At 38.4% G+C, this 13,420-nt stretch overlaps 1 protein-coding gene across 1 annotated transcript in view; it reads left to right on the forward strand.

Annotated features, from left to right (window-relative positions):
• The window catches only part of CYP2C9 (cytochrome P450 family 2 subfamily C member 9), a 51,434-nt gene that overhangs the window by 8,880 nt on the left and 29,134 nt on the right, over window positions 1–13,420 (forward strand). Inside the window, exons 4-5 of the mRNA NM_000771.4 lie at window positions 242–402; window positions 1,571–1,747. Coding sequence (NP_000762.2) covers window positions 242–402; window positions 1,571–1,747 — 338 coding nt within the window. The remainder of the gene's footprint in view (window positions 1–241; window positions 403–1,570; window positions 1,748–13,420) is intronic.

Below are 13,420 nucleotides of genomic sequence, written 5' to 3' on the forward strand. Positions count from 1 at the left end.
GACAAATAGGCTGGGAATGTAAATTTAGCATTTGAACAACCATTATTTAACCAGCTAGGTTGTAATGGTCAACTCAGGATTAATGTAAAAGTGAAGTGTTGATTTTATGCATGCCGAACTCTTTTTTGCTGTTAAGGGAATTTGTAGGTAAGATAATTTCTAAACTACTATTATCTGTTAACAAATACAGTGTTTTATATCTAAAGTTTAATAGTATTTTAAATTGTTTCTAATTATTTAGCCTCACCCTGTGATCCCACTTTCATCCTGGGCTGTGCTCCCTGCAATGTGATCTGCTCCATTATTTTCCATAAACGTTTTGATTATAAAGATCAGCAATTTCTTAACTTAATGGAAAAGTTGAATGAAAACATCAAGATTTTGAGCAGCCCCTGGATCCAGGTAAGGCCAAGATTTTTGCTTCCTGAGAAACCACTTATTCTCTTTTTTTTCTGACAAATCCAAAATTCTACATGGATCAAGCTCTGAAGTGCATTTTTGAATACTACAGTCTTGCCCAGACAGCCTTGGGGTGAATATCTGGGAAAGACGGCCAAGCCCTTTATTTTATGCATGGGAAATAAATGCCTCAATATAGGCCTGATTTCTAAGCCCATTAGCTCCCTCATCAATGTTTTTTCTGCTAAACTCCAAAGCCCTGTTTCTGTAAAGTACTTTGTTGACAGCCCTAAAGCGTGCTCATAGCACTCCATGGATATCCAGGCACTTTGGAGGCTCCCATTACTCACAAGACTTGTCCTTCAATTAACACTTTGTCGTATTATGTGGCAGAAATATCCTAATTTAAAAGACATTATCTCCTTCTAGTAGGGAGAATATTTGGGACCATAGAAGCTGCCAAGAAACACTGAATAGGGCAGGGGTGTTTGATATCTCAGTTGGGATCCTAGCTGATGAGATAGCTGGGTTAGGAATGACAAAATTATTGGTTTTATGGTGTATGAACCATAAACAGACATCACACTTATACCCTGTGCTGAGCTGGCATGTTTTATTCTCTGCCTAAATAATAATTGTGTGATTTTATAGAAGTCATTTAACTGCTCTGGTGCACAGTTGGAATTTGAAGTATCTTTGAGCCCCTCCCACTTCTAAAATACTAATTCCATTTCAGAGGCTGCTTGATAGAAATCAATATAGTAGGGACTAGCTTTGTACTATCAATCAGGTTGTCCAAATTCTTTTAACCTATGCTGTCATCTACAAAACGTGAATGTAGTAATTCATGCCATCTTATATTTCAAGATTATAGAGAAGAATTGTAAAAAGTAACAGAATTAACATAAAGATGCTTTTATACTATAAAAAGGAGGTCTGAGTCTAGGAAATGATTATCATCTGGTTAGAATTGATCCTCTGGTCAGAATTTTCTTTCTCAAATCTTTTATAATCAGAGAATTACTACATATGTACAATAAAAATTTCCCCATCAAGATATACAATATATTTTATTTATATTTATAGCTGTAATTTACAACCAGAGCTTGGTATATGGTATGTATGCTTTTATTAAAATCTTTTAATTTAATAAATTATTGTTTTCTCTTAGATCTGCAATAATTTTTCTCCTATCATTGATTACTTCCCGGGAACTCACAACAAATTACTTAAAAACGTTGCTTTTATGAAAAGTTATATTTTGGAAAAAGTAAAAGAACACCAAGAATCAATGGACATGAACAACCCTCAGGACTTTATTGATTGCTTCCTGATGAAAATGGAGAAGGTAAAATGTAAACAAAAGCTTAGTTATGTGACTGCTTGTGAATTTGTGATTTGTTGACTAGTTCTGTGTTTACTAAGGATGTTTAACTGGTCAATCAGTAATGCTTGAGAAGCACTTTAAGTTTTTATTGTATGAATGAATAACAAAATAGACCACTAGCTAGACTAATAAAGAAGAAAAAAGAGAAGAATCAAATAGACACAATAAAAATGATAAAGGGGAGATCACCACTGAGCCCACAGAAATATAAACTACCATCAGAGAATAGTATAAACACCTCTATGCTAATAAACTAGAAAATCTAGAAGAAATGGATAAATTCATGGACACATACACTCTCCCAAGACTAAACAAGGAAGAAGTCAAATCCCTGAATAGACCAATAACAAGTTCTGAAGTTGAGGCGGTAGTTAATAGCCTAACAACCAAAAAAAGTCCAGGACCAGATGGATTCACAGCCAAATTCTACCAGGGGCACAAAGAGGAGCTGACACTATTCCTTCTGAAACTATTCCAAATAATAGAAAAAGAGGGACTCCTCCTTAACTCATTTTATGAGGCTAGCATCATCCTGATACCCAAACCGGGCAGAGACATAACAGAAAAAGAACATTTCAGGCCAATATCCCTGATGAACACCAATGCAAAAATCCACAACAAAATACTGCCAAACCAAATCCAGCAGCACATCAAAAAGCTTATCCACCATGATCAAGTAGCCTTCATCCCTGAGATGCAAGGCTGTTTCAATATTTGCAAATCAATAAATGTAATCCATCACATAAAAAGAACCAATGACAAAAACCACATGATTGTCTCAATAGATGCAGAAAAGGCCTTTGATAAAGTTCAATACCCTTCATGCTAAGAATTCTCAATAAACTAAGTAATGATGGAACATATCTCAAAATAGTAAGAGCTGTTTATGACAAACCCACAGCCAATATCATATTGAATGGGCAGAAGCTGGAAGGATTCCCTTTGAAAACCAGCACAAGACAAGGATGCCCTCTCTCACCACTCCTATTCAACATAGTATTGGAAGCTCTGGCCAGGGCAGTCAGGCAAGAGAAAGAAATGAAGTATTGAAATAGGAAGAGAGAAAGTCAAACTGTCTCTATTCGCAGATGACATGATTGTATATTTAGAAAACCCCTTTGTCTCAGCCCAAAATCTCAAGTTGATAAGCAACTTCAGTATAGTCTCAGGTTATAAAATCAATGTGCAAAAATCACAACCATTTCTATACACCAATAATAGACAGACAGCCAAATAATGAGTGAACTCCCACTCACAATTGCTACAAAGAGAATATAATACCTAGGACACAAACAAATGGAAAAACATTCCATGCTCATGGATAGGAAGAATCAATATCATGAAAATGGCCACTGCCCAAAGTAATTTATAGATTCAATTCTATCCCCATCAAGCTATCATTGCCTTTCTTCACAGAACTAGAAAAATCTACTTTACATTTTATATGGAACGAAAGAAGAGCCCACATAGCCAAGAAAATCTAAGCAAAAAGAACAAAAAGTTCATAATCACTGGGACATTGGAGAAATGCAAATCAAAGTCCCAATGAGGTACCATCTCATGCCAGTTAGAATGGTGATCATTAAAAAGTCAGGAAACAACAGATGCTGGAGAAGATGTGGAGAAATAGGAATGCTTTTACACCGTTAGTGGGAGTGTAAATTAGTTCAACCATTATGGAAGACAGTGTGCTGATTCCTCAAGGATCTGGAACAAGAAATACCATTTGACCCAGTAATCCTGTTACTGGGTATATACCCAAAGGATTATAAATCATTCTACTATAAAGACACATGTGCACGTATGTTTATTGCAGTACTATTCACAATAGCAAAGACTTGGGACCAACCCAAATGCTGATGAATGACAGTCTGGATAAAGAAAATGTGGCACATATACACCATGGAATACAGTGCTGCCATAAAAAAGGATGAGTTCATGTCCTCTGCAGGGATATGGGTGAAGCTGGAAACCATCATCCTCAGCAAACTAACACAGGAACAGAAAACCAAACATTGTATGTTCTAACTCATTAATGGGAGTTGAACAATGAGAACACATGGACACATGGAGGGGAACATCAACACCGGGGCCTGTCAGGGGGTGGGGGACTTGGGGAGGGATAGCATTAGAAGAAATACCTAATGTGGATGACAGGTTGATGGGTGCAGCAAACCACCATGGCGCGTGTATACCTACGTAAAAAACCTGCATGTTCTGCACATGTATCCCAGAACTTAAAGTATAAATATATAAATCTACCCAAGGAGAAACAGAATGCACATTCCAGGTGAAATGGAATCAATTACTGACAAATATGAAAACATAAAATATGCCCTGTGATGAAGATGGGTGTCATTATTGCACACAGTTTATTTGAGAATGGGAAAGAATGACTTAACCTAGGTGGGTTTCCTGCATTCCTGCAAATTGAAATAGGCCATAAAATATTTGCAGTGAGAGTCAGAGGAGGGGTTTCAGATAGGTTGGAATGCTCTACATGGAGGTGCAGAGGTGGGTGATGGGAAAGAGTAGGTGGATGGAAGAGGGAAAGGAAGCCTTTATTGAGTGAGAACAAAAATGATTTGTACAGATAACAGTTGGAATTTAGTGTCTATCAGATAAGGCGTAAACATCAATGCCGTTGTCATCGCACCATTGTTGAAAACGCTATTTTTTCCCCTATTGAATTGCCTTGGCAACCTTGTCAAAATCCAATTGACTATAAATGTGTGAAAGGTTTTTTTCTGTGTGCTCTCAATTGTACTCCATTGATCTATATGTCTGTCGTAATCCCTATAGTGCACCATCTTAATTACTGTAGTATTGTATTAATATCAAGTTATTATATCAAATCAAGGAGTGTGAGTCTTTGTTGTTCTTTTTCAATACGTTTTCACTATTCTGGGTCCCTTGAATCTTCATATGAAATTTAGAATACACTTGTCAATTTTCTCAAAGGAGCCAATGGGGATTTTGACACGATTGCATTAAATCAGTAGATCAGGGAATTATGCCATTTTTAAAATTGAAGTGAAATTCACACAATATACAATTAACCATTTTAAAGTGTAGACTTGAGTGGTATTTAGTGTATTCACAATGTTGTACAACCACCAGCTTTCTCTGGTTTCAAAATGTTTTTATTACTTCACAAAAACATATCATATTCATTAAATAATCACTCCATTCCTCCAACCCATCATGTAATTACCTCTAATCTTCTTTCTGTTTCTATGGATTTGCCTGTTATGGATATATAAAGGACTCACAGCATATGTAACCTGTTATGTCTGAGTCCTTTCACTTATAATGTTTTAGAGGCTCATCTAAGTTGCAACATGTATCAGTACTTCATTCTTTTTTGTCGCTGAAATATATTTTATTTTTCCATGCACATATATCACAATTTGTTATTCATCTGTTTATGGACATTTGCATTGTTTCCAACCTTTGGCTCTTATAGATAATCTTGCTTTGATCATTTGTGTATGTTTCTTTATGGGCATATTTTCATCATTCTTGGGTATATTCTCAGGAGTTGAATTGCTGGGTCAAATGGTAATTTTATGCTTATCTTCTTGTATATAAGAGCCAATCTTTTCTACAGTGAATGTGGCATTTTATATTCCTTCCAGCAATGTAGAAGGATTTCTATTTTCCACATAGTTGCTAATACTTGTAACTTTCTGTATTTATTGAAGCCATCCTAGTGAATATAGAGTGTTATCTCATTGTGGTTTTATTTATTTATTCATTTATTTAGAGACAGAGTCTTACTCTGTCACCCAGGCTGGAGTGCAGTGGCATGATCTCAGCTCCCTGCAACTTCCACCTCCTGGGTTTACACAATCCTCCTGCCTCAGCCCCCAGAGTAGCTGGGATTACAGGCATGTGTCACCATACCTGGTTAATTGTTATATTTTTGGTAGAGACGGGTTTTCTCCACTTTGGCCAGGCTGGTCTCGAACTCTTGACCTCAGGTGATCTGCCCATCTTGGCCTCCCTAAGTGCTGGGATTACAGGTGTGAGCCACTGCGCCCAGCTCTCATTGTGGTTTTAACTTGTGTTTAATGGCCAATGATTTTGAACTTCTTTTAATATATTATTACCCATTTGTATATCTTCTTTGGATAAATGCCATTCAAGTACATTTTCTGTTTAAATTAAGTTGACTTTATTTTTCTTTTTAAGCTGTTAGAATGATTTATGTATTCAAAACATTAAACTCCTACATATACATAATATGAAGATATTTCCTCCCATTCTGTTGGTTGTCATTTCACATTCTCAATTATATTCTTGCTGCACAAAGTTTAATTTTGATGAAGTTTGGTTTATCTATCTTTCCTTTTGCCACTCTGGTATCAAATTTATAAATCTATTGCCAAATATGAAGTCATGAAGATTTACCCCTACATTTTATTCTAAGAGTTTTATCGTTTTAGCTCTTATATTTAAGTTTTTCCATCCATTTTCAGTTATATTTTTCATTTGGAGTGAAGTAAGGGAGATCTCAGCTTCATTCTTCTGCATTTCGCTGTCCTGTTGTCTCATCACCATTTGTTGAAGAGACTCTTTCCTCAGATTGAATGGTCTAGGCACCCTTGATGAAAGTAAATTTGCCATAGATCTTTAGGTTTATTTCGTGATTTCAGTTTTATTCCATTTGTCTTGATGTCTATCTTTATGCTAGTACCACACTGTTTTGATTATTACAGTTTGTAGTAAGTTTGAAGTTGGAAACTGAGTACTCACTGATACAGAAATTAAGTAGAAATTACTTAGGCAAATAGTAAGCATTTGGGAGTCCTCAGTAAGGTTTTTCTTTATACTGGAAAGCAGCCCCAAATCATTTTCTAACAAAGAGCAGCTTGTAAAATCGAGCTGCAGACATACACAAGGAAGCTGGAAACTTGCACGAGTGAAAGCTGGTAGTAAAGAACTACCTGTGACCAGGCAAGTTCAAAATGGCGGCTCCTTCCCCACCCACTATGTAAATGTCACACCTGATTAAACCAATCTCTGGGCCATACGTAAATCAGACACTGCTTCCTCCAGCCTCCCTATGCAATCTGCTGTGGTCCACCTCCTTCCCCCTTTTCCGATGTCCCTCTCTTTCACAAGAAGCTGCTTTTTTCTCTCCTTTCTTCTATTAAACTTTCTGCTACATAACCCACTCAGATGTGTCCGTGTCCTAAATTTTTCTGGGGCATGATGACAAACCTGAGGGTGTATATCCCAGACAACGTAGCTGCTTCATCACCATGTAGTTGCATATTAATTGAACAATCAACTTTCCCATTTCTGGAAAAAAGACCATTGGTATTGTGGTAGGGATTGCCTGAGTTTTTAGATCACTTTGAGGAGTACTGCCATCTTAACGATATTAAGTCTTCCAATCCCTGAACATGAGATAGTTTTCAATTTATGTAGGTATTAGATATTCTTTTTTCTTCTGTTGCAAGGGTCTGGTTTAGTTTAAAAGGCAAGTTTATCTTAAATTTTTTTATTTAGTTATGACCATTGAGGATTTTAAAATGATACCATATGAAATGCCTTCTTTTAAAAAAAATTTCAACTTTTATTTATTTATTTATTTATTTATTTTTATTATACTTTAAGTTTTAGGGTACATGTGCACTATGTGCAGGTCTGTTACATATGTATACATGTGTCATGTTGGTGTGCTGCATCCATGAACTCGTCATTTACATTAGGTATATCTCCTAATGCTATCCCTCCCCACTCTGCCACCCCACAACAGGCCCCAGTGTGATGTTCCCCTTCCTGTGACCATGTGTTCTCATTGTTCAATTCCCACCTATGAGTGAGAACATGCGGTGTTTGGTTTTTTGTCCTTGAGATAGTTTGCTGAGAGTGATGGTTTCCAGCTTCATCCATGTCCCTACAAAGGACATGAACTCATCATTTTTTATGGCTGCATAGTATTCCATGGTGTATATGTGCCACATTTTCTTAATCCAGTCTATCATTGTTGGACATTTGGCTTGGTTCCAAGTCGTTGCTATTGTGAATAGTGCCACAATAAACATATGTGTGCATGTGTCTTTACAGCAGCATGGTTTATAATCCTTTGGGTATATACCCAGTAATGGGATGGCTGGGTCAAATGGTATTTCTAGTTCTAGATCCCTGAGGAATCACCACACCGACTTCCACAATGGTTGAACTAGTTTACAGTCCCACCAACAGTGTAAAAGTGTTCCTATTTCTCCACATCCTCTCCAGCACCTTTTGTTTCCTGACTTTTTAATGATCGCCATTCTAACTGGTGTGAGATGGTATCTCATTGTGGTTTTGATTTGCATTTCTCTGATGGCCAGTGATGATGAGCATTTTTTCATGTGTTTTTTGGCTGCATAAATGTCTTCTTTTGAGCAGTGTCTGTTCATATCTTTTGCCCACTTTTTGATGGGGTTGTTTGTTTTTTATCTTGTAAATTTGTTTGAGTTCTCTGTAGATCCTGGATATTAGCCCTTTGTCAGACAAGAGGGTTGCAAAAATTTTCTCCCATTCTGTAGGTTGCTTGTTCACTCTGATGGTAGTTTCTTTTGCTGTGCAGAAGCTCTTTAGTTTAACTAGATCCCATTTGTCATTTTGGCTTTTGTTGCCATTGCTTTTGGTGTATGAGACAAGAAGTCCTTGCCCATGCCTATGTCCTGAATAGTATTGCCTAGGTTTTCTTCTAGGGTTTTTATGGTTTTAAGTCTAACATGTAAGTCTTGAATCCATCTTGAATTAATTTTTGTATAAGGTGTAAGGAAGGGATCCAGTTTCAGCTTTCTACATATGGCTAGCCAGTTTTCCCAGCACCACTTATTAAATAGTGAATCCTTTCCCCATTTCTTGTTTTTGTCAGGTTTGTCAAAGATCAGATAGTTGTAGATATGTGGCCTTATTTCTGAGGGCTCTGTTCTGTTCCATTGGTCTACATCTCTGTTTTGGTACCAGTACCATGCTGTTTTGGTTACTGTAGCCTTCTAGTATAGTTTGAAGTCAGGTAGCTTTGTTCTTTTGGCTTAGGATTGACTTGACAATGCGGGCTCTTTTTTGGTTCCATATGAACTTTAAAGTAGTTTTTTCCAAATCTGTGAAGAAAGTCATTGGTAGCTTGATGGGGATGGTATTGAATCTATAAATTACCTTGGGCAGTATGGCCATTTTCACGATATTGATTCTTCCTACCCATGAGCATGGAATGTTCTTCCATTTGTTTGTATCCTCTTTTATTTCATTGAACAGTGGTCTCTAGTTGTCCTTGAAGAGGTCATTCACATCCCTTGTAAGTTGGATTCCTAGGTATTTTATTCTCTTTGAAGCAATTATGAATGGGAGTTCACTCATGATTTGGCTCTCTGTTTGTCTGTTATTGGTGTATAAGAATGCTTGTGATTTTTGCACATTGATTTTGTATCCTGAGACTTTGCTGAAGTTGCTTATCAGCTTAAGGAGATTTTGGGCTGAGATGATGGGGTTTTCTAGATATACAATCATGTCATCTGCAAACAGGGACAATTTGACTTCCTCTTTTCCTTATTGAATACCCTTTATTTCTTTCTCTTGCCTGACTGCCCTGGCCAGAACTTCCAACACTGTGTTGAATAGGAGTGGTGAGAGAGGGCATCCCTGACTTGTGCCAGTTTTCAAAGGGATTACTTCCAGTTTTTGTCCATTCAGTATGATATTGGCTGTGGGTTTGTCATAAATAGATCTTATTATTTTGAGATACGTCCCATCAATACCTAATTTATTGAGAGTTTTTAGCATGAAGAGCTGTTGAATTTTCTCAAAGGCCTTTTCTGTATCTATTGAGATAATCATGTGGTTCTTGTCATTGATTCTGTTTATATGCTGGATTACATTTATTGATTTGCCTATGTTGTACCAGCCTTGCATCCCAGGGATGAAGCCCACTTGATCATGGTGGATAAGCTTTTTGATGTGCTGCTGGATTCGGTTTGCCAGTATTTTATTGAGGATTTTTGCATTGATGTTCATCAGGGATATTGGTCTAAAATTCTCTTTTTTTGTTGTGTCTCTGCCCGGCTTTGGTATCAGGATGATGCTGGCCTCATAAAATGAGTTAGGGAGTATTCCCTTTTTCTATTGATTGGAATAGTTTCAGAAGGAATGGTACCAGCTCCTCCTTGTACCTCTGGTAGAATTCGGCTGTGAATCCGTGTGGTTCTGGACTTTTTTTGGTTGGTAAGCTATTAATTATTGCCTCAATTTCAGAGCCTGTTATTGGTCTATTCAGAGATTCAACTTCTTCCTTGTTTAATCTTGGGAGAGTGTATTTGTCGAGGAATTTATCCATTTCTTCCAGATTTTCTAGTTTATTTTTGTACAGGTGTTTATAGTATTCTCTGATGGTAGTTTGTATTTCTGTGGGATCGGTGATGATATCCCCTTCATCATTTTTTATTGCGTGTGTTGGATTCTTCTCTCTTTTATTCTTTATTAGTCTTGCTAACAGTCTACCAATTTTGTTGATCTTTTAAAAAACCTGCTCCTAAATTCATTGATTTTTTGAAGGGTTTTTTGTTTCCATGTAATTGAGTTTCCATTGTTTCCATGGAATGCAAAAATTCCATGTTTTGAGTGAGTTTCTTAATCCTGAGTTCTAGTTTGATTGTGCTATGGTCTGAGAGACAGCTTGTTATAATTTCTGTTCTTTTACATTTGCTGAGGTGTGCTTTACTTCCAACTATGTGGTCAATTTTGGAATAGGTGTGGTGTGGCGAAAAGAATGTATATTCTGTTGATTTGGGGTGGAGACTTCTGCAGATGTCTATTAGGTCTGCTTGGTGCAGAACTGAGTTCAATTCCTGGATATCCTTGTTAACTTTCTCTCTCGTTGATCTGTCTAATGTTGACAGTGGGGTGTTAATGTCTCCCATTATTATTGTGTGGGAGTCTAAGTCTCTTTGTAGGTCTCTAAGCACTTGCTTTATTAATCTGGGTGCTCCGTTATTGGGTGCATATATATTTAGGATAGTTAGCTGTTCTTGTTGAATTGATCCCTTTACCTTTATGTAATGGCCTTCTTTGTCCCTTTTGTTCTTTGTTGGTTTAAAGTCTGTTTTATCATAGAGTAGGATTGCAACCTCTGCCTTTTTTTGTTTTCCATTTGCTTGGTAGATCTTTCTCCATCCCTTTATTGTGAGCCTATGTGAGTCTCTGCATGTGAGATGGGTTTTCTGTGTACAGCACACCGATGGGTCTTGACTCTTTATCCAATTTGCCACTCTGTGTCTTTTAATTGGAGCATTTAACCCATTTACATTTAACATTAATATTGTTATGTGTGAATTTGGTCCTGTCATTATTATGTTAGCTGGTTATTTTGCTCATTAGTTGATGCAGTTTCTTCCTAGCCTTGATGATCTTACAATTTGGCATGCTTTTGCCATGGGTGGTACCAGTTGTTCCTTTCCATGTTTAATGCTTCCTTCAGGAGCTCTTTTAGGGCAGGTCTGGTGGTGACAAAATCTCTCAGCATTTGCTTGTGGGTAAAGGATTTTGTTTCTCCTTCACTTATGAAGCTTAGTTTGGCTGGATATGAAATTCTGGGTTGAAAATTCTTTTCTTTAAGAATGTTGAATATTGGCCCCCACTCTCTTCTGGCTTGTAGAGTTTCTGCCGAGAGATCAGCTGTTAATCTGATCGGCTTCCCTTTGTGGGTAACCCGGCCTTTCTCTCTGGCTGCCCTTAACATTTTTTCCTTCATTTCAACTTTGGTGAATCTGACAATTATGTGTCTTGGAGCTGCTCTTCTCGAGGAGTATCTTTGTGGTGTTCTCTGTATTTCCTGAATTTGAATGTTGGCCTGCCTTGCTAGATTGGGGAAGTTCTCCTGGATAGTATCCTGCAGAGTGTTTTCCAACTTGGTTCCATTCTCCTCGTCACTTTCAGGTACACCAATCAGATGTAGATTTGGTCTTTTCACATAGGCCCATATTTCTTGGAGGCTGTGTTCGTTTCTTTTTATTCTTTTTTCTCTAAACTTCTCTTCTCACTTCATTTCATTCATTTCATCTTCCATCACTTATACCCTTTCTTCCAGTTGATCAAATCGGCTATAGAGGCTTATGCATTCATCACGTAGTTCTTGTGCCATGATTTTCAGCTCCATCAGGTCCTTTAAGGACTTCTCTGCATTGGTTATTCTAGTTAGCCATTCATATAATCTTTTTTCAAGGTTTTTTACTTCTTTGCCATAGGTTCAAACTTCCTCCTTTAGCTCAGACTAGTTTGATTGTCTGAAGACTTCTCTCAACTCATCAAAGTCATTCTCCATCCAACTCTGTTCCATTGCTGGTGAGGAGCTGTGTTCCTTTGGAGGAGGAGAGGCACTCTGATTTTTAGAATATTCAGTTTTTCTGCTGTTTTTTCCCTGTCTTTGTGGTTTCATCTGCCTTTGGTCTTTGATGATGGTGACATACAGATGGGATTTTGGTGTGGATGTCCTTTCTGTTTGTTAGCTTTCCTTCTAACAGTCAGGACCCTCAGCTGCAGTCTGTTGGAGTTTGCCAGAGGTCCACTGCAGACCTTGTTTGCCTGGGTATCAGCAGCGGAGGCTGCAGAACAGCGGATATTGGTGAACAGCAAATGTTGCTGCCTGATCGTTCCTCTGGAAGTTTTGTCTCAGAAGAGTACCCAGCCTTGTGAGGTGTCAGTCTGCCCCTAATGGGGGGTGCCTCCCAGTTAGGCTACAAGGGGATCAGGGACCCACTTGAGGAGGCAGTCTGTCCATTCTCAGGTCTCAAGCTTTGTGCTGGGAGAACCACTATTCTCTCCAAAGCTGTCAGACTGGGACAATTAAGTCTGCAGAATTTTCTGCTGCCTTTTGTTTGGCTATACCCTGACCCCAGAGGTGGAGTCTACAGAGGCAGGCAGGCCTCCTTGAGCTGCGGTGGGCTCCACCTGGTTCGAGCTTCCCAGCCGCTTTGTTTACCTACTCAAGCTTTGGCAATGGGGGGCACCCCTCACCCAGCCTCGCTGCTGCCTTGCTGTTTGATCTCAGACTGCTGTGTTAGGAATGAGTGAGCCTCAGTGGGCATAAGACCCTCTGAGCCAGGCACGGGATATAATCTCCTGGTTTGCCATTTGCTAAGACCATCAGAAAAGCACAGTATTAGGGTGGAAGTGACCTTATTTTCCAGATGCCTTCTGTCCTTGGCTAAGAAAGGGAATTCTCTGACCCCTTGCACTTCCCAGGTGAGGTGATTCCTCACCCTGCTTCAGCTCAGGCTCCATGCACTGCACCCACTGTCCTGTACCCACTGTCTCACAATCCCCAGTGAGATGAACCCAGTACCTCAGTTGGAAATGCAAAAATCATTCATCTTCTGCATCGCTCATGCTGGGAGCTGTAGACTGGAGCTGTTCCTATTCAGCCATCTTGGCTCCAAATGTTCTCAACTTTTATTTTGAAGTGCACGTTCATGTGTCTTACATAGGTATATTGTGTGATGCTGAAGTTTAGGGTACAAATAATGCCATCACACAGGTAGTGAGACTAGTACCCAATAGGTAGTTTTTCAGCCCTTGCCTTTATATCTCTCTACCCTCTATAGTAATTCCTTGTGTATTTTTTCCATCTTTGTG

The sequence above is a fragment of the Homo sapiens genome, chromosome 10 (genome assembly GCF_000001405.40).
Source record: "Homo sapiens chromosome 10, GRCh38.p14 Primary Assembly".
Classification (NCBI taxonomy): domain Eukaryota; kingdom Metazoa; phylum Chordata; class Mammalia; order Primates; family Hominidae; genus Homo; species Homo sapiens.